Genomic DNA, 27,537 nt, shown 5'->3' with positions numbered 1-27,537 from the left:
TTTCAGGCCAATATCCCTGATGAACAATCCAGCAGCACATCAAAAAGCTTATCCACCCCTGTCCCGTGTGGCCCCATCCCGCAGCCTGCCAGCCATGAGTTCCACGCAGTTCAACAAAGGCGTCTAGTATGGGCTGTCAGCCGAGGTCAAGAACTGGCTCCTGCCCAAATATGACCCCCAGAAGGAGGCAGAGCTTCACAGCTGGATCAAGGGACTCACCTGCATCTCCATTGAGCCTGACTTCCAGAAGAGCCTGAAGGACGGGATTATCTTATGCATACTCATGAACAAGCTGCAGCCGGCCTCATTCCCCAAGATCAACCACTCCATGCAGAAGTGGCACCAGCTGGAAAACCTCTCCAACTTCATCAAGGCTGTAGTCAGCTATGACATGAACCCCATGGACCTGTTCAAGGCCAACAACCTGTTTGAGAGTGGGAACATGAGGCACATGCAGGTGTCTCTTTTTGCCCTAGCAGGGAAGGTCAAGACTAAGAGGCCGCAGAGCGGGGTGGACATTGGCATCAAATACTCAGAGAAGCAGGAGCAGAACTTCAGTGACGCCGCCATGAAGGCTGGCCAGTGCGTCATCGGGCTGCAAATGGGCACCAACAAATGTACCAGCCAGTTGGGCATGACCGTGTATGGCGTGAAGAGGCATCTGTGTGACCCCAAGAATCACATCCTGCCCCCCCATGGACCACTCGATCATTGGCCTCCAGATGGGTACAAATAACTGTGCCAGCCAGGTGAGCATGACAGCTCCTGGGACGCGGCAGCACATCTGTGACACCAAGCTGGGAACCGACAAGTGTGGTAATTCCTCCATGTCCCTGCAGATGGGCTACACCCAGGGTACCAACCATAGTAGCCAGGTCTTTGGCCTGGGCCAGCATATATGTGACCCCAAGTACTGCCTGCCAGGCACAGTGGCTGACGGGGCTCCCTTGGGTGCTGGCAACTGCCTGGGCCCAGGAGAGGTCCCTGAATATCCCCCTTACTACCAGGAGGAGGCTGGCTACTGAGGCTCCCAGCACACTCTCTCCCCACATTATCTCCCTTTCTGGGTTTTTGGGTTTTTCTGTGTTTTCATCTTTTTTTTCTTAACCTGTTCAGTGCTGCCAATCAACCGAGGGTCTGTGAGTGGCAACGTGGAATCAGGCAGCAGGGCTTTCTTCCCCCTTGCCTTGGTCCTTCGCAGGAATGAGCCACCAGGCTGTGGAGGAGAAGGGGTCAAGGCCATATCCCAATATGTGTATGGTGAGGGTCCCTGCTGGCACGTCCAGGCTGCCAGCAGAGCTGTGCCGGGGAGAAGAGACCTGGGCTTGGAGGGAACCAGTACCCGGAGGTTTCCAGTTGCCTTGCCTCTTCCCACTTTTGTCAGCCGATCAGTTTGTGGTTTCTATACCCGCAAAAGTTTCAGGATGCATTAACAAAAGAAAAATACATTTTTTTTTCCTGAGGAATGGGGTGGGGACAGTGGAGAGGGTGCTGGGAAATGAGTCCCCTGGGAAAGGGGGCCTGTCTATGATGCTAAATATCTCAGGCTCCCAAGTGGCTGGATTTCCCTAGGACCCTCAGGCCAACAGACCTCAGACCTGCCTCAGGGCCCAGTGGGGAAAGTGAGGCCTGTACAAGGAAGTGGATGCTGAGTGGTTGGGCCTAATCCCCCCAACTCCCCACACCACCACCGTGGCCTCAGTAGGGTTTTTTTCTTAGTAGTTGTTGCCCAGTCTGGAGTGCAGTGGCATGATCTTGGCTCACTGCACCTCCACCTCCTGAGCTCAAGGGATTCTCCTGCCTCAGCCCCCCAAGTATCTGGGATTACAGACATGTGCCACCATGCTTGGCTACTTTTGTATTTTTAGTAGAGACGAGGTTTCACCATGTTAGCCAGGCTGGTCTCAAACTCCTGGCCTCAGGTAATCCACGCACCTTGGCCTCCCTAAGTGCTGAGATTACAGGCGTGAGCCACCGTGCCCGGCCCCTTAGTAGGTCTTAAGGAGCCCCAGCCCTTCTCCCCTTCTGGGCCTGACCAGCTATACTGCTCCATCTCCCCCGGCCACATGCCCCTCCAAGTACTGCACAGGGACCCCCCACCCAGGGGCCCTGCTCCATGAGATAATGTGAAATATGACTGTGGACCAAACACAATAAAACCTCTGTCTGTAAGGAAAAAAAAAATCTTATCCACCACAATCCAGTCGGCTTTATCCCTGCTATGCAAGGCTGGTTCAACATATGCAGATCAATAAATGTAATATATCACAAACGGAACCAATGACAAAAACCACATGATTATCTCAGCAGATACAGAAAAGTCCTTCAATAAAATTCAATACCCCTTCATGCTAAAAATCCAATAAACTAGGTATTGATGGACCATATCTCAATTAGAGCTATTTAAGACAAACCCACAGGCAACATCGTACTGAATGGACAAAAGCTGGAAGCATTCCCTTTGAAAACTGGCACAAGAAAAGGATGCCCTCTCTCACCACTCCTATTCAGCATAGTATTGGAAGTTCTGGTCAGGGCAATCAGGCAAAAGAAAGAAATAAAGGGTATTCAATTAGGAAGAGAGGAAGTCAAATTGTCTCTGTTTGCAGATGACATGATTGTATATTTAGAAAACCCCATAGTCTCAGCCCAAAATCTCCTTAAGCTGATAAGCAACTTGAGTAAAGTCTCAGGATACACAATCAATTGCAAAAATCACAAGTATTCCTATACACCAATAATAGACAAACAACCAAGTCATGAGTGAACTCCCATTCACAATGACTATAAAGAGAATAAAATACTCAGGAATAAAACTTAGAAGAGATTGGAAGGACCTCTTCAAGGAGAACTATAAACCACTCCTCAAGGAAATGAGAGGACACAATAAATGGAAAAACATTCCATACTCATGGTATCACAAAAATGGCCATACTGCCCAAAGTAATTTATAAATTCAATGCTATCCCGATCAAGCTACCATTGACTTTCTTCATAGAATTAGAAAAAACGACTTTAAATTTCATATGGAATCAAAAAAGACCCTGTATAGCCAAGACAGTCCTAAGCAAAAAGAACAAAGCTGGAGGCATCATGCTACCCAACTTCAAACTTTACTACAAGGTTACAGTAACAAAAACAGCATGGTACTGGTACAAACACAGATATACATAGACCAATGGAACAGAACAGAGGCCTCAGAAATAACACCATACATCTACAACCATCTGATCTTTGACAAACCTAACAAAATCCAAGCAATTGGGAAAACTGGCTAGCCATATCCAGAAAACAGTAACTGGACCCCTTACTTACACCTTATACAAAAATTAACTAAAGATGGATTAAAGACTTAAACGTAAGAACTAAAACCATAAAAATCCTAGACAAAAACCTAGGCAATACCATTCAGGACATAGGCATGGGCAAGGACTTCATGACTAGAACACCAAAGGCAATGGCCAAAATTGACAAACGGGATCTAATTAAACTAAACCGCTTGTGCACAGCAAAAGAAACTATCATCAGAGTGAACAGGCAACCTACAGAGTGGGACAAAGTTTTTGCAATCTACTCATCTGACAAAGGGCTAATATCCAGACTCTACAAGGAACTTAAACAAGTTTACAAGAAAAAAAAAAAAACATCGAAAAGTGGGCAAAGGATATGAACACACACTTCGCAAAAGAAGACGTGGCCGTTAAACATGAAAAAAAGCTCATCATTACTGGTCACTAGAGAAATGCAAATCAAAACCACAGTGAGATACCATCTCACACCAGTTAGAATGGCGATCATTAAAAAGTCAGGAAACAACAGATGCTGGAGAGGATTTGGAGAAATAGGAATGCTTTTACACTGTTGATGGGAGTATAAATTAGTTCAACCATTGTGGAAGATGGTGGCAATTCCTCAAGGATCTAGAACTAGAAATACCATTTGACCCAACAATCGCATTACTGGGTATATACCCAAAGGATTATAAGTCATTCTTCCATAAAGACACATGCACTTGTATGTTTATTGCAGCACTATTCACAATAGCAAGGACTTGGAACCAACCCAGATGCCCATCGATGATAGACTGGATAAAGAAAATGTGGCACATATACACCATGGAATACCATGCAGCCATAAAAAAGGATGAGTTCATGTCCTTTACAGGGACCTGGATGAAGCTGGAAACCATCATTCTCAGCAAACTAACACAAACAGAAAACCAAACACCATATGTTCTCATTCATAAGTGAGAGTTGAACAATGAGGATGCATGGACACAGGGAGGGGAACATCACACACCGGGGCCTGTCGGGCTAGGGGAGGGATAACATTAGGAGAAATAGCTAATGTAGATGATGGGTTGATGGGTGCAGCAAACCACCATGGCACATGTAAAAAACCTCCACTTTCTGCACATGTATCCCAGAATTCAAAGTATAATTTTAAAAAATACAGTGCTGGAAGAAGATGCCTGGTACCTATTAAGGAACTCACTCATGATTTCTTGCTGTGGCCTAGAGTGGTGGCCACTCCTTCAAACTGAGTTTGCCAGAATGGAATTCTGGTGTAGGGAGAAATTTCTTTGCAGAAAAATGTTACGTAGTTTCCTTTGTTTTTCAGTAGTTGTGCAAAGACCAACTACTGCCAGTAGTCTGCAAAGGACAACAAAGAGATATATGGCATAATTTCTGTAATGAAGTAATATTTTTGTTTAATGTACCTTTATTAACAGCTTTATTGTAGTATAATTGATATACAATAGATTTCACTTATTTAAAGTGTACAATTTGATAAGTCTTGGCCATGTGTATCCATCTACCTGTGAAACCATCAGTAGAGTTCACAATGAATATGTCCCTCACCCTCACATGTTTCCTAGTGCCCCTTTGTAATCTCTCTGTCTTATCTCTCTCTCCACCCCCACCCCCACATTCCCAGGCTTTCTGGCACTATAGATTATCTGCATTTTCTAGAATTTTATATAAATGGCAACATATAGTATATACTCTTTTGTCTAGCTGTTTTTACTCAGCACAGTTATTTTGAGATCTGTCTATGTCGTGCATATCAATTCGTTCTTTTTTATTGCCAAGTAGTAGTCCATTTATGGGTATATAGTTTAACTATTCTGAATTCAAAAAATCTGAAATCTGGAATGCCCCCAAAACTTGAAACATTTTGAGCACCAACATCATGCTCAAAGGAAAGGCTCATTGGAGCATTTTGGATTTTGGATTTCCAGATCGGGGTGCTCAACTGGTAAGTATAATGCAAATATTCCAAAATCTGAAAAAATATCCCAAATCCAAAACACTTCTGGTTCTACACATTTTGATAAGGGATGTTCAACCTGTATCAGGTTTAATAGCCATTCAGCCAATGATGAACATTTGGATTTATCCATTTGTTGTATGTTTGTTTATCCATTCAGCCACTGATGAACATTTGGATTGTTTTCAGTTTGGGACTAATAAAAGCTTCTATGAACATTCATGTACAAATATTTGTATGGACATGTATGTCCTTTTCTCTTAGGTAAATACCTAGGAATGGAATGGCTGGATTGTGTGGTAGGGCAGGAAACTGCCAAACTGTTTTCCAAATCGGTTATACCATCTTACATTCCTACCAGCAATGTTTAAGACTTTGAACTCCTTTACATCCCCACCAACATTTGATGTGGTTAGTCTTTTACATTTTAGCCATTCAAATAGGTATATAGCATTGTCTCAATGTGGTTTTAATTTCCAATTCTCTACCATTGAGTGTCTTTTCATTTGTGTATTTGCCACAGCATATCTTCTCTGGTGAAGTATCTTTAAATCTTTGCACACTTTGGAGACAAGCGTTGTTTGTTTTCCTCATTGTTGAATTATGAAAATTGTTAGTATATTCTGGATAAAAGTCCTTTGTGCTTTGCAAATAATTTCTCCCAGTGTCTCTTAAAGTTTTTAATTTTGATGTCCAGTTTATTAACATTTTCTTTTATAGATCAGGCTTTTGGTATGGTATCTAAGAAATCTTTGCCTAACATAAGATCACAAAGACTTTCTCATATGCTTTTTTTCTAGAAATTTTATAGTTTTGTGTTTTACATTTAGGCCTATGATCTACTTCAACTTTTGTGTATGTTGAGAGGTAAGGATCCAAGTGCTAGATAGATGGATAATGACAATAGTTCCTGCACCATTTCTTGAAAAGACTACCCTGCCTCCACTGAATTGCCTTTGTGATGCTTGCTTTTTTCAAGCATAAATTTTCCATATTTATATGGGTCTATTTCTTTCTTTTTTTTTTTTTTTTTTTTTGAGATGGAGTCTCGCTCTGTCACCCAGGCTGGAGTGCAGTGGCGCGATCTTGGCTCACTGCAAGCTCTGCCTCCCGGGTTTATGCCATTCTCCTGCCTCAGCCTCCCAAGTAGCTGGAACTACAGGCGCCCGCCACCTTGCCCAGCTAATGTTTTGTATTTTTAGTAGAGATGGGGTTTCACCATGTTAGCCAGGATGGTCTTGATCTCCTGACCACGTGATCCACCAGCCTTGGCCTCCCAAAGTTACAGGCATGAGCCACTGCGCCCGGCCCTATATGGGTCTATTTCTGTACTCTCTGTTCTGTTTCAGTAATCTGTGTGACTGTTGCATCGCAAGTATCACATTATTTTGACTATTATAGCTTTATAACAACAGGAATTTTTTTATCTTCACAAATAAAACATTAACAACTACCTATGCAATCTTCCAATACTGAGATATTCAATAGGGAACTGAGAGAGAGAGAGAGAAGGGAGAATTTGGGAAAGAGAATAGGGTGGAAGGTGGGTCTTTGAATTGTTTTGCTTTTAGGAATAGTTAAAATATTAAGTAGCCTATTACAGTGTGAATAGAGCAAGTTTTCAGCTAAACTTTCTAACAGAATCTACATTTGATTCTTCTCTCTCTGTAGAGAGGCTTACATTCATTTGGAGGGGAACTAATCCCGTGACTTCTAGGTTATCTCTTAGTTTCTTCTCTGGAATGACATTATTGGCAGACACTAAAGGACTTAAGGGAGAGCGGCATTTGTCTAGAATATAAAAGCCAATTTGTAATTTCCATATTAGTAGTGGTGGATGGAGAATTTTCACAGGCAAATCAAACGATCACATAATCCCCAAACCCCTTTTCAGCTGTAGTTATTTACTTCTTTATCCATTTATTCTAACTTTGCAGGCTACCTGAGAAGTTGTATAGATTCTTCCAGAGTGAACATGTCACTTAAATATGGATTAGAACATGGCTTCTGCTGTGATTACCTTAGGGAGATGGGACCTATTGGTACATTACAAAGTGTCTGGAACAGTTAACAAGAAGAAGCTTATTTGAGGTGGCTGCTTTCCATTTTACTAAAGCAAAAGGCCTTTAGAAAGCCAACAACTTTACTCAGATTAAAGATGGGATTAATTTCTCCTTATGCAGCTAAATACATAAGCAGTGCATGTAAATATTTAATAAATATAAAAGAGCTCTTATAAACACAAGTCAATAAACAACTTCAATAAAGTACAGGAAAACAATATGCATTTTGCTTGGTATAGTGTTTTCTTTACTCAGGTTAACAAACAATGATCTCATCATTAGCAGCAAGATAGTGGAGAGACCATCAAAGCAAACTACAGCAGAGTCCAGATTGATTCGTGCCAAACAAATGTTTGTAGCTAACAGCTGTATTATCACTCATTCTAATTTACGCAGCTGGGGTTCTTTTATTTCCTAAGTGAGATAAATGTCATGTTGCATGATACAAGCACCATCTCTACTGCTTGAGTCATGAATCAGGTCAGCTCTCTCCTAGTTAGCTTCACCCCTCATTTTAGGTTAGGGGAGGTGGCTTGCTACAGTTTTAGCTATAAACAGCTAATAGGCCTTTTTCTAAGGTTGTGTGAGTCCATTCGTGAATCATTCAGTATTTTATTTAAAAATACCAGTTTGAATGTCATGAAAATATTGAAAAAACCAGTTTCATGTGGAAAAACCTTTGGTTGTGTAGGTTTTAAACTATTAGCATAAAACTTCTCTTTTTAAAAAATTCTTAAAACTTGAAGACTGAAGAATAAGTATGGTATAGTCTCTGCCTGCTGGATGAGATTCCATGATTTATTCTCTAACTATGCTAAGTCAAAGATTCTGCAGTTAGCTTTCTCCCCAAAACTCAGGCTGAGTTTGAGCAGGTCCTAAGGTGTTGATCCCTTTAGCTCACCTAGTTAATGGGACATAGAGTACTTTTGGCTTGACTACTCCATGCTTTTTCCTATCAAAGCAGACCAAGACAATCAAAACCTTGATTTTTAAAGCTTACCTGAAATAGAGTCTTATGTAACAAAAGGATGGCTAAGTGTACAAGGCAGTTGAACATGTTAGTGGTAGATGATGCATTTAACTGTCAAAATGCTACTCACAGCAAAGGGGAACCAATTCCCAGGAGAAGGTCTGGAGAAGAGGAGGGAGAAGAGCCTGAGGCTTGGTGTGCACATTCTGAGACCAGTCCTGGCTCTGCCACTCAGTGGGTGCCTGTTTGCAAGTCATTTCTTGACCTCTGTGAGTCTTGTCTTGTCTTTTTTTCCAATTATAAAATAGAATAATAATTCCTGCCTCCCAGTTTTGTCATGAAGATTAAATAAAATAATGTTTGTGAAAACAAGTAGACAGAATAGGTGCTCAATCAACAATAACATTAGCTGGACACGATGGCTCACGCCCATAATTCTAGCACTTTGGGAGATCAAGACCAGAAGATCGTGTGAGCCCAGGAGTTCAAAACCAGCCTGGGCAAGATGGCAAGCCCCAGTCTTTGCAAAAAAAAATAAAAAATAAATTAGCCAGGCTTGGTAGTGTGCACCTGTAGCCCCAGTTATTCAAGGGGCTGAATGGCGGGATTGCTTGGGCCAAGGAGTTGAAGGATGCAGTGAGCCGTGATCACACCACTGCTCTCAAGCAATTTTCGTATTCTGGCTTATTGACTTAACAAATTATTGAAAGTTTGTCTGGGCCCTGGTGGCTCAGGCCTGTCATCCCAGTGCTTTCAAGGCCTAGGCAGGAGGACCCCTTGAGGCCAAGAGTTTGAGACCACCTGGTCAACATAGTGAGACCCTGTCTGTACCAATTTTTTTTTTTAATTAGCCAGGCATGATGGCAAGTGCCTGTAGTCCCAGCTACTCAGGCTGAGTTGGGAGGATTGCTTGAACTCAGAATTTCAAGGATGCAGTGAGCCATAATCATACTACTACAGTTCAACCTTGGCAAGAGAGTGAGACCCTGTCTTAAAATCTGTGTACATATGCATATTTTTTTAAAAGTCAGTCATTGTAGTCGGGGAGACAGCTATTAAACAAGCACAATGTGAGAGTTACGTACATAGCACTGTGAGATCAGAGAAGGAACACCAAACCCTGTAGGGAGGGTAGGGAAGGAAAGCTACCTTCTCAGAGGAGGTGAAAGAGTTATCTCTGTAAAAATGAGTTTATCAAGTAAGCAAGGGGTGAAAAGGCACTGCAGGTAGATGGAGCAGCTTATGCAAAGACACACAGGCATGTTCCAGAAAGGGCAAGTGGTTTTGTGTGCCTAGAGTCGTGGGTGAGTGGTGGTGGGAATGGTGGGACAGAAGGCTGGAAACATAGTGGTTATACTGGCCTTCATAATCTGAATTTCACAGATAAAGGTTTAAACTGCTGTTACCACTTAAAGGAACTGCTTAGATGCCTTGGTCCTGTTTGTTTCTGGTGCAAATCTGGACAGATTAATTTGGCCTGTTATTTCTGGGTACTTCAGAAAGACAAACACCCAATCCCCATATTTTTGGCATTTCTATTCCCAACACAGTTGGAACCAGGAAGCATAACAATGAAAATTAAGAAAGGAGAAGAGGGAAGAAGCAGAGAGTAAATCTGTTTGGGATTTATGAAAAGATATTACAAGACACAGGCATCTTTAACTAGTTTACTGGGATCTCTAGTAGAGATTTTTCCATTTTTAAAAAGGTGTTATATCGCTGAGAAAAATCTACCTTGATATGTGTAATAAAATAGCTCTGAGTAGGAACTCACCTGAGTAATTAATAAAAAAAAATTTTACCCAACTTTAGAAACTGTGTTCAGGGAGCAACTGCCCTGAATAAAGAGGGCATGAAAAGCCTTTTGTGTTCCTTTTTGTCCTGTATAACAAATTATTTTTCTTGCAAAGCCCCAAATTGCTTTCCCCTACATTGCCGCATTGCTGTGAACATGATTCCAGTACACTGTGGCTCTTCCAGGGATACTCCTGATATCAATCTTGAGGCCTATTCAAACGAGGATGGGAGTCAGAGTTGAACTGTGCCAGCATTCCTGCTGAGAATTAGCCCAGTTTCATTATGTGTGGAGGAGCCCCCAGTTCACTGCCCTTGCATGTTTGGGGTACACAGAGCTGAGAGGCTCTGCAGGGAGTGCAAAGTTAAGGAACTGCATGATAGGAACACTATCACTTACTCTTTCATAAGGAGCTCTGGGCAGGGAAACTAAAAAAAGATGAGGTTTTTCCATCATTCAGTGCAGCTGTGGTGTTCTACTTGTAACAAGCTACTTCTGCTTCATAAGGCAAGAAAAACACAAGAATTGTGAACAGACTCTCAGAATGAGCAGGGTCCCCAGGAGTCCTGTCTGTCTTTTTTAACTCCTTCAATTAACTGGAGTACTAAGGGAGAGATTTGTTGCTTGGCCTGTGCCTTCATTCTACAGATGCAGAAGCTGAGACCCAGGAGGAGAAGTGGCTTTCCCAAATTGAAGATTCATTAGAAGCCAGAGTTTGTAGTACCAGGTCTTCTGACTCCTGTGGGCCAAACTGTCGTCCATAAGCCTAAATATGGTTATAATTAGCCAGGTTGTCAGCAATGGGGCAGGAGGTATCACACGAGTACGTTGTAAAATCTTTTCTGCTTGGAAGAAAAGGTGATGGCGAACTAAAAATTTGATCTCTGTGCCTTTATCCTATTTAATCTATATTACATCATATACAGGATTTAATTTCTCAAACTGTATGTTTACCTGTTTTATCTTACAAATTACCAATTTCATCAGAATAGGACTTGGTATCATCAAGTACAGCTCTATTAACTTGACTTTTAACCACTTGGAAAACGTGTGCACCCTTGCAGCCTCCTTTATCTTGCCGTGCACTCCCACCTTCTGGTCATGTCAGGAGGGACAGTATCCCTGAGGAACCACACTTAAACTTTTCCATTTTAGAAAGATTGGTCAATCCTAGGCCTTTGTTGTATGCGTAATTCGTTCATTCTTATACTTTCTAATCCCACAGGCTTTGACTTCGGAAACCTGTGGGTTATAACAAAGTACTGAGGAACTGTAATTTAATCTGTTCAGATCTAATATTAAATGAGACCCAGATTTTTTTTTCTAGTGGACTGCAAAGCCACATTTATTGAACATCTACTAGGTTTACATGGGAGTCCTTTTAGCTGTGAATTCCTTATTGGTAAGGGACTATGCCCAACAGTGTACCTGGCACATAGTAGGAGAACTATGAATATGTGTTGAATGAAGGACATTGGTGAAAACCAGGGCTGTTTAGGAGTGTCCTGTCCTGAGGCCACTCCAGATGGAAGTGGTTCTCCCATAGCCTAACACATCCCGTTCTTTCTTGAACTATAACTCGACTTTCTTCCAAAGATGAAGGGGAAAGGTATCATTCATCTGAGATTTGCCTTGTGGTGTTTACCGAGTTAGTGGGTGCAGCGCACAAATTTGTTTTCTAAGGAAAGGCTGGTAAAGCATTGATGCAAGGAAAATTATTCTTAGGTATTCTTCTCTGATGATCATAGACTGAAACTTTTACTTTTGTATAGTTACCATAGCCATGAAAATAATCACTGGCCGACATTTCTAGTGGCAAAAAAATATCAACCTCTAGAATGGTCTGATGAATATCAGGGAGTAGGGCTAACAGAAATGTAATGCCAGCTGGGCCAGCAGTGTCTGCCAACCCCAAATATTTACTCAGCATCTTACTATGTGTAAAACTCATGATTTTTCCTGGCTTTTGCTTGTTTCTTGAATATAATCCTGAAGGCAGAATCTAAGTTTTGTAACTGATGATTTATGAACATTATTTTTGTCTAGAAGAGGTGATATTCCTACCTACTTTGAAATCAGCTTGGAGTGCAGGGATAAGATTTTGATGGTATGTGGCACACATTAGTGCTCAGTAAATGTAGAAAAGAGAACAGAAAAATGACAGAATGCTGGGAGGAAGGAAGGGAGAAGGAGAGGGAGTAATCCCAGGCCTGGGCTCTGGCATCAGCCTGCAGATAGTCCAACAGGTTCTGTCATGAACCAGCTGGGGAGCCTGGTGACATTCACTAACTTCTAACTCATTTAGCTCATCTCTAAAATGAGATAAAACCTACTGTGTAGGGTTTTTTGAGAGGCTTAAATGACATAATGCTTGTAAGTATCTAACATAGACTACTCAATAAATACTGGTTTAATTTAATGAATAATATGTTTGTGAATTCCAGTAATTGTCTTGTTGAGAAAGCAGTTACCTGTTTATCTTCCTTGACTTTAAAATGAGTCCACATCAGTTAATTTGGATTCCCCCAGAGTGGAGCGAGCAAGCACAATGACATTCTCAGAAGAGCAGACAGTCACAGATGACAGCATCCTCAGGGAACACCCCTCCCTGAGTGCTGGCAGTAAGTCAGAGGATTGCTGTTTCCCCAGTTGCCCTTCGGTGTGAGTTCCCCCTTACCAGTCATAATTTTCAGCATTCCCAGAAGAGAGGGCCAGATTCTCCTTCCCTTTGTGTTTGCCTGTTTTCTTCTCAGAGGACCATGTCTGTGTGAGAACAGGGCCTTTACTGAGACCAGGTCTTCCTGAGGCCTTTGCGTGGAAGTGGAAGAGACACAAAATGGCAAGGGCGGGGGAAGGGCAGTCTGGCAGGTTGGCCACAGCTCACCCATCAAACTTCAGGGCCAGGTGTTAGCATTTTCCAACACCTTGGTAAGTCATGTTTTCAGCAAATCAAGAAACTCTAGTTCTGCATCTTTGAGAGACATCACTTTTTCCCCCTAAGGTTAGCTTTTCTCAGGATGGGGATACATTTTCAAAATCTTTTTTAGGAGGAGGCAGAGTTACAGTTAATGAGTGATATTGGAGACTGAGGGGAAGTTGGAGTTTCCCCGGTGTTTTTCTGAAGGAGTTAACAGCACAGGCAGTTTGGGAGATCTACGGGAGACCTGCTTTGGAAGGTCCAGCTGTCTCCTTTACATCACCCCCATTTCTGTCCATTGAACGTGGAAGAAAAGGGAGGCCCCAGCTTCTCACACTTGCTCATGGTTAGCATGTCTGCACACTTACTGTGTGCCAGGCTGGGTTCTAAGTGTCATATATGGTACACCACTTAATCCTCAAAATATAATTCTGAAGTACATAGTATTTTTATCCCCCCCTACAGAGGAGGATCCAAGGCTCAGATAGTAAATAAATTTCCTAGGCTCAAACAGTTACGAAGTGACAGAACTGGTTAAAAAAAAAAAAAAAAAATCCAGGCAGTCTGGCTCCAGAGCCTTTTCTCCTAGCTGGGGTTCTCCGCTGCCTGCGAAGTCGTTAGTCCCACTGGAGGATCTCAACAAGGGACTGCAGGAGTTGAAAGTGAATGTAGCGTTTCTCTTCCCCCGCTTTTAAAATATTTAATTTTCAGGAAAATTTCAGGAACAAATAACATTTTTTCATCTCAACAAGACCAAATTGCCTCTATGGACTATATGGCGGCTCTGCTCTGCATTTTCCATAAAGTGATATGTGCTCTCCAGTGGAGTCGCATCCTGTTGTAGGTTAGGTTCCCAGGGAGCATTCACGGAGTTGGAGTTTAGCTTGCAGGATTTTACTAGGGATCCCTGCTGAAGGGGAGTGGCCCTGGGGAAGTGGAACTGCAACACAGGCCTGACACAGCCTCTGCCAGTCACTTGGGTCATCATGGAGTATATACCGTCCCTCAGAGCCCAGTCCTGTGCTGGGCTGAAAGGGTAGGACCTTTATACAAACCCTGCCACCACCAGTGGGTGGATATGGGCCACTTGGAAGAGGGCTTCTCCTTGGGCAAGGGAGCTCTTTTCAGCTGAGGTGGACCCTGAAGGAGGTGACAGCTGCAGGCTGTCTCCCAACAGCATTCCCCATCACTGAGGTAGAGTTCTGCCTTGAGCAGGGGCTCTAAGTGGTGGATCTTTGCTTCCATTATGACACTTTCATTTTCATTGCCAATGTGAGTCTACTCATTGGCAAGTGCTTTCTCCTAACTCAGCCTCTTGTTTACTTGGATTCAAGATAAACGGCATTTACAAGATTGCACAAAAAGAGAGATTCTCAACTGTCTGGTATCCTTTTACTGTAGCTCTAGGCAGAGGCAAAGGTGTAATATTGATAGTCTCTTTGGAGCATGTAATAAAAAGCATGCCTGGCATTTTAGGAGATACATGAACAATTTGTTTTATCCTCATGATATCTTTCAAGTGGCACCAGTTGGCTTTTTTCTGGAGCCGGAGTCCAAAGCTAAAGGCCACAATGCAGTGATTGAAATCTCCAGTTACATTTTTCTTGCCAGTTGTCTTTAGAGAAATCTTTCAGTGATTAAGATTCCAGATTTAACTCCCTTTTCCTTAGTCCTTCCATCACGAAACTAAAGCTGTCTTCCAGTTCACTCCAGCATGGACATTAAACTGTACCCCACTAACTTACATCTTGTAACCCAAGCTGATGACAAGAGCTGGGTTGGCTTGCCTTTTAGGGTTTGTTACTGTTGCATCCCATTGATGCCCTGAGCTGGCATTGGCCGGTGACTGTCTCACCTGCAGGATTTGCAAAACCTGTCTCCATTTCCCTTCTTTCAGGTTGGAAAGCTTATCCAAGAAGCAGCTGGAAGAAGTAATTTGAAGAGAGTAACTCTGGAACTTGGAGGCAAAAGTCCTAATATTATTTTTGCTGATGCTGACTGTAAGTCAACTACAGGTCCCATACATGAACCACCACACACCCTTTGGTGCTCTCTTTTATATCTCCACTTTTGATGGGACACTAGCAAAAGATATTTGAAGCTAAGGGCAATCAAAAAGATCTCCTCTAAGGAGAAAATGGTTTAATAATGGGGAAAGAGCACTTTTCAGTTGACGACTGAACCAGTTGTTTTCTAGACACTAATGAGCCATTTTGAATCTGTGATGTTGTAGAATAGGGGGATGAGATGAAGGCTTGGTCAGTGGCATATGGTTCAACAGCAGTGGTCTCAGCTGCTGAGCACCTGAAGGATAGTCTCTCTGCCTAGATTCAATAAATCTGTAACTTTTCAACTGTGCCTGGTGGCTGGTAGACCATTTTAAATAAATCCGACTTGACCAGCCCTGCCAGCATTTTCCAAACCCACAGCCCCTTCTCTGTTTAGTCAATTCCAGCCCCTTTCTGTTGCTCGCATGACTTTCAGTTAGGATGACAGCACACGTGGGTCAGTTCGGTATGAGTAGTCCTAAAGCTGGGATGATTCCACTTGCCAGTAGGACCTTACAGAGGCTTAGAGAAGTAACTGAGAAACCCCATGTCTCTAGGAAGGATGCCACCTAGGCCATTCTGCACAGGTGTGACGTTTCTGTTTGAAAAGCTCTCCAGGTAAGGAAATCCCACCATCTCATTCAGTGATTCTTTTTTTTTTTTCCCTCCACTTGTTGCCAGGCAGAGCTGCTTTCCCAGTCTCACCACCAGAGAGATCAGAAAACCAAAAGCAGATTGCTTGAATTTCAGCACCAGCTTGGAATTTGCAGAGTTCAGCTTTAGCTTTATATTAGTTGTCAAGAAAATCAGAATCCTTATGCCTGTTCCTCTTGAGGAGTAGGAACTTCATCTCCCTAACATTGACTGATTCATTTATTCAGTCAGTCGGTCATTTAGCAACTAATGCACGTCAGATTAAGCTGTTTTGAAGTGTAAGATATAAGGGATGAATATGGAAGAGTTATCATAGGATTTTACACAAGTCCATGTCAATCTAGAGGAAATTTAGTGTCTTCAAAGAAGACCCATTGGTGTTACGGTTTAATCCCCCAAGTACCAAACATACAGCCCCAAGGCCCTGTAGATTTAGGAGTTGTAAATTGGCCAAATACAAAATATAGACATGTTTACCTGTCTAAACATTACACTATGTTCAAAACAAGAACTGCACATTAAAATATTGATTTCTGTGAAAATTGAGAGGATCTGGCAACCTGGGGCTCATATTTATGCATGGCAATGATTAAATGTAGTGGCTTTCCTTCTTAGCCCCTCCATTACATTGCTTTACCACCTGGCAGACTCATACCTGTACCTTATCTCCCAAGCCCTGTGGTATATAGGGGTTTGAGACTCCTGTTATACACGAGGTTCAGTACCTCTGTTTGCAGAATAAGAAAGAGACCCAAAGAAGTGAAGTTGTTCAAGTTCACATAGCATGTCAGGGTGTAGTTAGAACTAGTTGCATTCCCAATCCAGGGCTATTCATGGTTATGTCATGCAGTGAGCACACTATACCTAGGGCTTTGGAGAGGGGAGGGAGGCGGCTTCATAGACAGGCCCCTCCCCAGGCAAAGCGGTGAGAACATGGCTGTTTCCTCTTGTAGTGGACTATGCTGTGGAGCAGGCCCACCAGGGTGTGTTCTTCAATCAAGGTCAGTGCTGCACTGCAGGCTCTCGCATCTTCGTGGAGGAGTCCATCTATGAGGAGTTTGTGAGAAGAAGCGTGGAGCGGGCCAAGAGGCGCGTAGTGGGGAGTCCCTTTGACCCCACCACTGAGCAGGGTCCCCAGGTAGAAAAATCATAACCATTCCCTTTGTTTACTTAATCCTTGACTGGCACAGAACTGTGTACACTGTAGTAGGTCCCAGCAAAGCGACATCTTCCTTTTCGGCTGACTCCTTTATTCTCCACCATGTCTTCGTGGCTGGAAATGGAGCCAGAGAGGGATTGCTTATTTCTTATGCTTCTCTGTCCCTTTCTAAGTTTTATCTCTGAAAAACTATGGGATTACCATTACTTTAAGAATATTCTGGCCGGGCGCAGTGGCTCACGCCTGTAATCTCAGCTTTTAGGGAGGCCGAGGCGGGCGGATCATGAGGTCAGGAGATCGAGACCATCCTGGCTAATATGGTGAAACCCTGTCTCTACTAAAAATACAAAAAAAAAATTAGCCGGGCGAGGTGGCGGGTACCTGTAATCCCAGCTACTCGGGAGGCTGAGGTAGGAGAATGGCGTGAACCCGGGAGATGGAGCTTACAGACTGTGCCACTGCACTCCACCAGCCTGGGCGAAAGAGCAAGACTCCGTCTCAAAAAAAAAAAAAAAAGAATATTCTGACCTTTGGGACTAAGCTGGAGTCTCTCAGTTCTAAAGAAAGCCATGAGTATGACAAGATGGGTCTGGACACTAGAACCCAGTCCCAGTCCTTCCAATCACTGAACTTTAGGACATCCCTACAGATGCCACAGTCAAGGAGGGTAGATATCTTTCTTTCCTAGAGCCATCTATCCTTTTACGAGCTGCCAAGGAGTCTCTCCAGCAGCCTGAACCAGTCTGGACAGATCCCTTGTAGCTTGTGAAAGTGTAGGAAGTGAAGGGCTGGCTCACTTCCCTTTTGCTGTATGGTTATTTCTTAATCTGAAGGCCTCGTGTACTTTAGTGGGGTGGGGAGGGCCACAAAGTCTCTCCTGAACAGCCTCCTCTGCAGGTTCACCGTAATCATCGAGGCATATTTCTAAAGGGAATTCTGGTTTTAATCTGTAGACAGGTTCTGAGAATTTTCAGAAGGAACCTGGACCAGCTCTTATATGGGTCACTAAAGCATGGGTTTAGGGATTATTCAAGAGAAGATTGATGTTCTGGCTGAGCCATTCAAACTTGGGTAAATGTAGGTTTTTGTGTTATTTACCATAATAAGCAAATGATAACTCCGTCAGTTTTTTGGGGGAAGACTGACCTTGTTTTTTTTTGGACTAGGAAGCTCATCCTTCACTCTTTACTGTTAATATTTTCCTCTAAAGTTCCTCTAAAAGTGTAATAGGAATTCCTTTAAAAACAAACCACAATAAGATTGGGTATGTAGCACTATCTAAAAAGGCTGTGTGCTAATTTTTGCCTCTTTTTACTATCAATACAACTTGCTAAGTTACTCATTTAATTATAAAAGTCAATTTTCCCTCATATGAACATTGAATAGTAAATTAGCCAGTGTCTCCATCATTTTGAAACATTTTTCTAAATGTTCAGCTGGTACTTCTGATTAGGCAATATCATCAGAGCAGTACATTTATTGGAATCGTCGATATATTAGGATTAACCATACAAAATTGCCAGTTTTTTGTAGGTCAAAAATTGGTAAGTAACAGCAGTTTTATATGATCTGACTGGGTGTAGTTAAACTTTGAAAAAAACCCTAAAATGAAAGATTCTCAAGAACATACTTATTTCCATTTTCATAGAAGGTTATATTTGGAGTCATTAAGTCTTGTCTCCCACAGATTGATAAGAAACAGTACAACAAGATCTTGGAACTCATCCAGAGTGGTGTGGCTGAGGGCGCCAAGCTGGAATGTGGAGGCAAAGGACTGGGCCGAAAGGGGTTTTTCATTGAGCCCACAGTGTTTTCCAACGTCACTGATGATATGCGGATTGCCAAGGAGGAGGTATCAAATATGCTGTTCTTACAAAAGCCACATCTTTCTTGGGATCATTTCTAGAGCATTTCTAGTGGATGATATTAGAGTTTTAGCTCTTTATATTTTACATATATTCATTTTGCAACAGTAATGAACATGGCTATGAAAATTCCAGTTTCAAGAAGAAAAATAAACCAAAAGACAAGCAAGCTAGGTGGAGGCCAGGTGACATGCTATGTGCTTATGATTATTATTAGCCAACAGAACAATCAGAATAGCCTGCCATTGGCCTCAACAATACACTGGCAATAGTTCGGCTCTCCTAAATGTGGGTCACTGGGATGTTAACCAGGAGAGAGAATCCACTGAAGCATCTTTACATCTGTGCAAGAGAGGGACAAGGAGCAAATCAGCCCACAGTCCAGAGCATTCCGTTCTGGAGCAGTGTTTGCAGGATCACGGAGGATGCCACTTGCTCTTCTGTACCTAAAGAAGACACCCCTAGTATACACAGTGGAATCAAGTGATGCTGGAGAGGTTGGGGAAGTTGGGGAGGTTAAACACTAATGTCAGACTCTTCTTGCATAATCTTATCCTAGGAAAGGTTGGGAGATTTTACAGTTTTGTACTGCTAAACTTAAAGGTCATTTAAGTAATCAAGGCAGAGTAAACTTGCATTGAAATGTGGAAAGCAGGTAAAGGAATGACAGAGCAACCATGTTGAGTCATATTATCTTTTTGCAGATCTTTGGCCCTGTTCAGGAAATTTTGAGATTTAAGACGATGGATGAAGTTATCGAAAGAGCCAATAACTCAGACTTTGGACTCGTAGCAGCTGTCTTTACTAATGACATCAACAAGGCCCTCACAGTGTCTTCTGCAATGCAAGCTGGGACTGTTTGGTAAGATCAGAGTCAGTCTTGTAACAAATTCCACTGGTGGTATAGGGACCAGGGTGAAATAAACAAGTATCTCCTTGGAAGGATGGGGAATACCAAAAGCAACCAAAGTTCACCAGAAAAGGGGTACACTCCTTACTGCTTAGATCCAGAAATCAAAGTAGATTTTAAATTACAATTTTTTCCTCTGGAGGAAAGGAATTTAAAAATAAAACTTCTAAAAGAAATACCATGCCAGTCAGATTATGTGCTCAGACTTCACACGAACTCACAGTGCTATGTTTTCTTCTTTCAGGATCAATTGTTACAATGCCTTAAATGCCCAGAGCCCCTTTGGGGGATTCAAGATGTCTGGAAATGGGAGAGAAATGTAAGTCTTAAAGTTGCTGATGCCTGCAGAGAAATAGATTGCAAATATCAGCACAGAGCAGTACTTAAAAAATAGTTTAATTATCTTACACTCATCCATACATTCAACAAACATTTCGTGGAGCACATGCTACTATAAGCTAAGTTCTATTACATGTTATAGAGATGAATAAAACACAATTCCATTTCCCAAAGTGAGAATGGAAAAAATTAATGTACCATTAATTCCCTGTAGTAAAGGCTATGATTAGAAGTATGTTAAACATTTTGTCAGTACAGAGAAAAATCAATTAATTTTGACTGCTCGGGTCCTAGAAGACTTCACAAAGGAAGTAACCGTTTTTCCTGGAAGTAACATCCAGGAAAAGAACCCACTTTCCCTCCTTTTGAAAGAAACTGATCTGTATTTGCCAAATGCTGTGACTCACAGAGGAAACATGTTTCATGCCCGTTCCCTCAGCCATTACTGAATGCCTATTTTTTTGAGCAAATGCCTAGTTCACAATCTAACAAATATTGAGCATAAATATGTACAAAGCACTGTGCTTGGTCTATGGAGGAAGATGCAGGTCCTTAAGGCATTTAATATGTTTTGGGGTAAATAAAACTAATAACATTGAAAGAATCAGAGGAATCGCAGAAAAGACTGTAAACCAATGGAGGAGCTCAGGGATAGGGAAGATCACTGTGAACTGGAAAAATCTGGGAAACCTTTAGATATGATCTGCTACAGGGATTTGTGTCAGCCTTTCAAGAAGAGGAATGCTTGGATAGAGAAGGGGGAATATATTTTCAAGTTTGTCGGGCAAAACAGGGTAGCAGTGGGGGAGAGTGAGTAAAGGTATTGCGGGAAAAATAACGGTAGTGTGTGTTTGTGGGAGAAATGCAGTGAACCAACAAGACTAGAGCAGAGGATTTACATACTTCAGATAGTTTCACTGGTAATTTCAAGCTCCCAAGCAAAACTATAAAGTAGGTATAGCTTGGAGATTAGAGCAGTTTCTAGAATCACACTGCTCGGATTTGAATCCTGCCACTATTACTACCTGTGCAACCTTGGACAAATTACTTAATCTAAGCCTCAGTTACCTCATCTCCAAGATGGGAATAATTATACTACCTACCTCAGGGTTCTTGTGAGGATTAAGTGTAAGGATTAAGTATGCAAACATCCAACAGAATATCTGGCAAGCCTTCAGAAAATGTTAGCTGCAATCATCATTATTCATCAAGCAGATTAGTGTTATATAGATGATTCCTCTTTTTCTTAACCTGTAACTTTGGCGGAAGTTTCCCCAAATTCCAGCTGGTGTCACCAACTTCTGTTCTGACAGCCAGAACCTATAACCAATCTGGGTCATATTTGTTCAGTTCTTAGTATTCCTTCAGCTTTTACAGAGTCTTCATGCACTCCAGGTATGTCTTCATTTGCTTTTGACCTTCACCTTCTGCTTCCACTTTTCAAGATGCATTCCGCTTCTTATTTCATTTCCTTCCTCTATGTCTGTGCTCTCCCAGTCTCTGAAATGCTGGGGTCAGTCACTGGCTCTGGGAATGCTGCTTGCATTGATTGTTTTGTTACAGATCATTAACAGGGTGAATCATGAGCATAAAATATACTTTCAATAAATGATCGCTGGTTGATGGACCCTAATCCCAGGCTAATCCATGGTCCCTCATTGTGGGCACACTTGTTACATTAGCTGAGTCTAGTCTATTCCCATCAGAAATGTTCTCCTTGCCCAGAAAGGTGGTCCAGGAGACAGTTTGGCTCTATCTGAACCTCATATAACAGTGCTCAAGAGACCGAAGAACCATTTCTCTCTACTTGTCTTCCAGGCCCTATGGTGATTGGACCTTCTCAGTGCAGTTAAAAAATAATTAGGAAATGCTGTTCTTTGATGAGACCCACTGCATCTTGTCTAGATTGCATGTTTGTTTGTTTGTTTGTCTCTACTTACCCCCAAAACATGTTTTCTCTTTCTTAAATGACCCTGAGTGACAGAAAATGCTTCAAATAAAAGAAGCTGCTCTGTCTTGGTCCCCAACTCTTCCACCTCATTTGATACAGCCTCAGAAACTCCACTTAATCCTCCGTCTACACAGAATTATTTATCTCATGGCCTGCAAACTCCATGCAGCTTTGGTCCCTGACACCTCCCTGTCTATCCCTAAGAGGAGCAGAGACGTGAAGTGGCACTTCCAGAAACATCTGGAAACTCCCAGGAGGGCTGACCTAGCCCACGAGGTCTCCCCACAGAGAGCTGTGGGGAGGGCTGCCCTCTTAATTCCCAGGCTCAGAGACGAGCTTTTCTCAGGTCCTCCTGCCCACCTATTTCTGCCTGTTTCACTTTTCCTGTCCTTTTTCTTACTTCCTTATCAAACTCCCCTGAGATGAGGGGTGGCAAAGCACAAGCCATAAAATGTCACAAACTGAGGAGATGGAAAGAATTCTGTGAACCTCAGCATTTTAAAAACTCAGGACACTGGCTTTGAAAATGAGAAGCATTGTTAGATACTCTAAATCAGAGCTTGTCAAATTTATGTGTGTGTGTGCGTGCGTGTACACGCATGCATACAGAGAAGTCACCTCCAGTCTGGGTGATGGTTTTGTTAAGCATGCGTATCTAGGGACCCACTCTCAGAGATTCTGAGTTAGTTGATCTGCGATAGGACCCAGGAACTGCGTTTTTAACAAGCTTCCAGAGTGACTCCAGTATACATCACTGCCCAGGACCCACAGAGAAGCACCTCCGTTCCAGCAGGGTTTTACATTGCATCACACACCCAAACACTGGGATCCACCAGTCACCCTTGAAAGCAACCTGCCTTCCGGTGACCCGCTCCCACCCACCCTCTCAGTCCTGACCACCTGCAAGCTCCTCTGATGCTGATGGTCTGGAGACTTTACTCCGCTCTGAAAAATGCTGCTGCAAGTCAAGTAAAAGAGCAGGAAAATATATACCCTAAACAGAAACTCTTACTTGTTTTATGAGCAAGTCTGAGTGAGTCCTAAAATGGCTGGCGAAGAGCTACCAATACTGACTGACAGGTTACCTTAAAGCCTCTAGGTGTGCCAAGTTTGATTTATCTTAGGGACTAGAACCTAGTCTTCTAAATGTGATTTTGCCTTGCTGTTTCGTCCTGATGTGAAGGTAACCACACAGAGAGATTGGGCTGCATCAGTAATGATATGCATACCTTTCGTGCATCAGTGAGCTTCTTCCCTGTTAACTGTATGTGCCACAAAATTTAGCTGGAGTAAATAAATATGCGACAGAAATCCTGGAACAAGATGGTGAAATTGCTTAAGAATCGAGACTTCAGGGCTCAATGACCTCTGAGCATGTTTCCCAAAGTGTGACCCACATGACCATCTGTCTCTCAGTCTCCTGGTCCCTCCGTAGAGCTTCTGAAACTGAATCTTTGTGGGGTGGGGGTAGCGTTCAAGAATCAAAAGTTGAACCAAGCTCTTTGGGTGATACTTATGTATACTGAGGTTCAGGAACTGCTGGAGAGATGACTGGGCACCAAGAGGATGACAGTGACTCAGCTGGCATCCCTTAGCTGGTTCATGGCAGAGCTGAGTGGGCACTCCTGTCTCTGACCCCAGCTTCAGTGCTCTTTATCTCCTCCATGCCTCCTCAGTCGTGCTGCTCTAAGACTGCTTACTGGCTTTCCTTCATGTCCTGGGCACAGAGCAGTTCTTTTGGTAGCAGATTTGAGTCCACTTCCCCCGTGCACAGATCACTGCTCAGGACCCAGAGAGGAGCAGCTCTGCTCCAGCAGGGTTTTCCATTGCATCACACACCCAAACGGTAGGATCCAACAGTCACACTTGAAAGCAACCATAATTGTGAGGTTTCTGATGCTGTAGACTTCCTTACATTTCTCACAACCTAGTTAGAGAGTCACATGGGGGTGAAGTGTGGCTCGCGACCTGCCCCAACAAGTGCGTGCAGAAGCCAGGAAACAAAGGAGTAAATTCACTTCAAATGGGATGCACATGGTGTCCGTGATGAAGAGACACATTCAGAATTGCCCAAGGACAGGAAAATGACCAGAGAGAGCCAGAGCTGAGCTGGTAATAAAGAGACTCCGAGACTGAGTGGAGTTAATGAGGGAAGCATGCAACGAGTGGGGCAATTTCAGTTGGTTTCTCTCATTGCTTTAAGCGAAATGAACTATACGGACAGGAGAACAGCCTGCTTGCCCCAGTCTCTCCTTGGCCGCCCTCTGTTGTCCCTGTCAACTCAGGTGCCCACGGTGCTCAGAGGAGGTGCTGGCAAAGCCCCTGGAGCCTTATGTAGGCCATGGGGGCTCCTAAAAGGAACCTGAATGAATCATTTACAGCAGGTCTCTCTTGTAAAGCCCAGCCACAGTAACTCGTACACTGACTGTTTCAAAAGACAGCCTTTCTTAATCATTTAATTGTTTCATATTCAAATATATCTCCTAATTGTTTTTATTTTTTCCTGATCTAGAAGATATGACAACAGGGTAGAACTTGGGAAGAGGGAATAGGAAGCTCGCCCTTCCTCCTTCCCTCCTCCCCTCTCTACTTTCCTTCCTTCCTTGGTCATCAGGTACCTTCTTTGTGCCTGCTGTTGTAGGCTATACCCTATGTTTGGTGGAAGGCAAAAAGAAAAATCAGTAGGATACAACTCAGTAGGGAAGACAGAGATATTCAAGCCCCTTGTCCTCCCAGTGTGATAAGTGTGGTGGTTGAGGTGTGAACAAGGGGCTCTGTGAACAGAGAGGACGAAAGAGGAGCTCCTCCTGAGGCTGTTGGGAAAAGCATCACTGAAGAGTGACTTTCAGAAGAAGAGAAGAAAAAGAGGAGAACATGCGTGATTTTATAATGAAATAGATTAGATAAGGGGAAAAAAGGCATTTAAACAAGGCAAAAAGAACAGGAGAATAGAGAAGAGATGTGGAGGAGAAGGAGCACTGTAGTAAACACGCAGAAGGACAGGAACACTTAGACATGCAACCCACTCCCACCCTCCGTCTTGGGGGAGGAAAGCACACTACTGTCCCAAAGAACTAATACTGAACCAGTGCTGCCTTGTGGAGAGAGGCATGGCCAAGGCGTTCAGAGACCTGGGCCTGGTCCCACCGCTGCCCACAGCACTCAGCCTCTGAGCACAGCCTGGGGTCATCTGTGTGCCCTCTGGCCAAGGCTGATGGTAGTTCTCTGAGTAATTGAGAGTCATTGCCTGTCTGTGCAGTATTGTGAAAACAAGTCACCTTTTAACTTTAAAACTACTTTAAAAAACTTTAAAGTTTTAAAAAAACTTCTTTAAAAACTACTCATGAGATGACAGTTTCTCTGACCCTCAGAGGAAGGCTGGGCTGCGCATACGTGAGGAATTTTTACATGAACATCCCAGGACTTGCTGTTCGCAGGTGATAAACTGCACCTCCCCAGGACTCCCGCTGCACTCACATGCAGCTCCCTGGACTTCTGGTATCTGACCCGGCCCATTTCTGTGTTTCAGGGGAGAATTTGGCTTGCGGGAGTACTCAGAAGTTAAGACGGTGACAGTAAAGATCCCCCAGAAGAACTCCTAAGAAGGCCAAGAAGGAGGATGAAGCCCAGCCTGCACGTCTGTCCCTCTCTGCTTTCTCTGTAGGGCCCAGCTCTCAGGAATACAAAGTTGAGCCACGGTCCTTACTTAAAGATTGAAAAGATAACATGTAGGCCAGGCAGGTCACTGCACAACTAAAGCAAACCAGCTGGGTACAGTTTCTTGGCACTCTGTAAGGGGCCACCTTAATCATACCAAATATTGGGGAAAGTGGGATAAAGGGAGGAGGAGGAGCTAGCAGACACATCCAGTATCTCCTTCTGGAGCACAGGATGAAATAAGGGAGCTGTATTATTTCATGTCTTTGTCACAAAGAACTTTCCTCTCAAGGAAAGGTGACCTTTCTCCTGTCTTCATTTTCCTCCTTCCAGGCCCTCCTCGCTCACCCACCCCTCCCTCTCTTCCAAGGAGATGTCAGCTGAGCTCATTCTGGGGCAGATGTTTGGGCCGGGAACAATTTTTCAAGGTTGTAAAGCCAAATTATCATTTCATGTTATCCATTTCTTCAAAGCAAAACATGAAATGGTTTTAGCTAGAGTCAGACCAGAATGAAAATGCCAGGAGCTGGTACACTACAGATGTAGTAAGAACCTGGGATATTCCTGACCCAATCTGGTTTTCTTTTACCCATAAATAACATGAATGAAAAAAGATTGGGACAATAGAGACTGGAAGTCATCATGTGCAGTTCACCGCTTCTGAGCTTGCTGCAGTTTTGGGGTGTGTGTGTATTAGATTCCTTCTCAGTTATTCTGGAATAAGGCAAGGAGTGGGTTGTTTTTCATAGCTAGATAAGATCTTTTCCAAAGTTTTTCTTAGAACCAACCAAAAAACAATCCGAGTAGGCCCAAGAATTTGATAATGCTGGATGCCTTGCAGACATCATTCAGTTTCTAATATTGGGCAACAATTATTATTAAATGAATTATTTCTGTAGTTGGAATCTGTACCTTCTGAACCTCTACACCAATAACTGCTGCAGGTGTGATTTTGGTCTGTCACACTGTACATCTATCATAATGTGCCCTGTATCTATTGGCAGTGACCTTGGAAAATCTGGCCAAGCCTAGGGGTTTCCTTTTCCATTTGCCAAGTTCCATTGTGCCAGGACTGCCGTGCTCCACTGAGCTCCTCTGTCACACCCCATTCTTGCCCCTCACTGGGCAGGCCATGGCCTACAGCTTGCAGGGAGTAAAGCAGGCCCGCCTCCCTTTCTTCCCATCCACATACTCCTCTTCTGCTTTCCAGTGACTCCACCAGTTTGATGTGGGAAGTGTTAGCTTCCTTTCCTTCTTCCATCCCTTCTTCCATCTTTCCAGCTGTCAAATCCAATCCAGTCTCTAACCTAAATGCAGATCATTTATTTAAAAGTACCAAACATAACCCAGAGTATGTGGAATATGGGCAACATATATATAGCCTTCTGTATTTAACGATCTTCTGCTTCTTAACCGTACCAGTTTTCTATTTATAACTCTTATCTATCCATGATGTTTTAAAGTCTCCACTTGCTGTTATTTACAAACGACAGTGCATTCAGCAGCCCAGTGCCGTGAGCCCTGACAGATGCCGTATTTCTGAGTGCTTCCATGTGAATGCTGCCCTCCTGTAGCATGTGTCCAAGTGGACATAGCCACTAACCAACTAGTTACCTTTGGACTGCAACAAAAAATGTGAAAATGAAGATTTATTTCTTTTAATTTACTTAAAAAGAAACCTCTGTGCTAGCAATAAAGCATTTATATTGTGTACTCCTTGGGATTGTTTGGCTGTGTCTGTAAGTCTTTGGGTCATACTGAGTCTCTTTGGGTCCTTCCTCAGCTGCTGGGTTTTTCAGCTGTGTTGCCCTCTTGGGTAACTGAGCAGAAGCCTGCAAGGGTATTTTTACAGAATTCATTAAGGCAACTGGTAAATGGTATTAAGGTAAACAAAAACCTTATTTTCTGATGCTATTTAAAATCTGTGTGCATGTGTAG

The 27,537-nt window shown here is 43.0% G+C and overlaps 1 protein-coding gene and 1 pseudogene across 4 annotated transcripts in view, besides 1 other annotated feature; both read left to right on the top strand.

Annotated features, from left to right (window-relative positions):
• ALDH1A2 (aldehyde dehydrogenase 1 family member A2) overlaps window positions 1–27,312 on the top strand; it is a 112,283-nt gene extending 84,971 nt beyond the window's left edge. For all 4 annotated transcript variants that reach the window (NM_170696.3, NM_003888.4, NM_001206897.2 and 1 more), the window contains 6 exons: window positions 14,914–15,016; window positions 16,672–16,856; window positions 18,565–18,729; window positions 19,447–19,604; window positions 19,897–19,971; window positions 25,472–27,312. In NM_170696.3, the coding sequence (NP_733797.1) occupies window positions 14,914–15,016; window positions 16,672–16,856; window positions 18,565–18,729; window positions 19,447–19,604; window positions 19,897–19,971; window positions 25,472–25,544 (759 nt within the window). In that variant the 3' untranslated portion in view covers window positions 25,545–27,312. The remainder of the gene's footprint in view (window positions 1–14,913; window positions 15,017–16,671; window positions 16,857–18,564; window positions 18,730–19,446; window positions 19,605–19,896; window positions 19,972–25,471) is intronic.
• On the top strand, window positions 58–1,222 carry LOC100418848 (calponin 2 pseudogene; annotated as a pseudogene).
• Window positions 17,615–17,774: an enhancer, noted in NCBI's record as "active region_9465". NCBI's record gives its function as "activates an Ori minimal core promoter by ATAC-STARR-seq in GM12878 lymphoblastoid cells {active_cell/tissue: GM12878}" and the evidence as "EXISTENCE:reporter gene assay evidence [ECO:0000049][PMID:35858748]".

This window comes from Homo sapiens, chromosome 15 (assembly GCF_000001405.40).
Source record: "Homo sapiens chromosome 15, GRCh38.p14 Primary Assembly".
Lineage (NCBI taxonomy): Eukaryota > Metazoa > Chordata > Mammalia > Primates > Hominidae > Homo > Homo sapiens.
The sequence above is the reverse complement of the archived record's forward strand: the minus strand, read 5'-3'. Positions and strand labels throughout refer to the sequence as shown.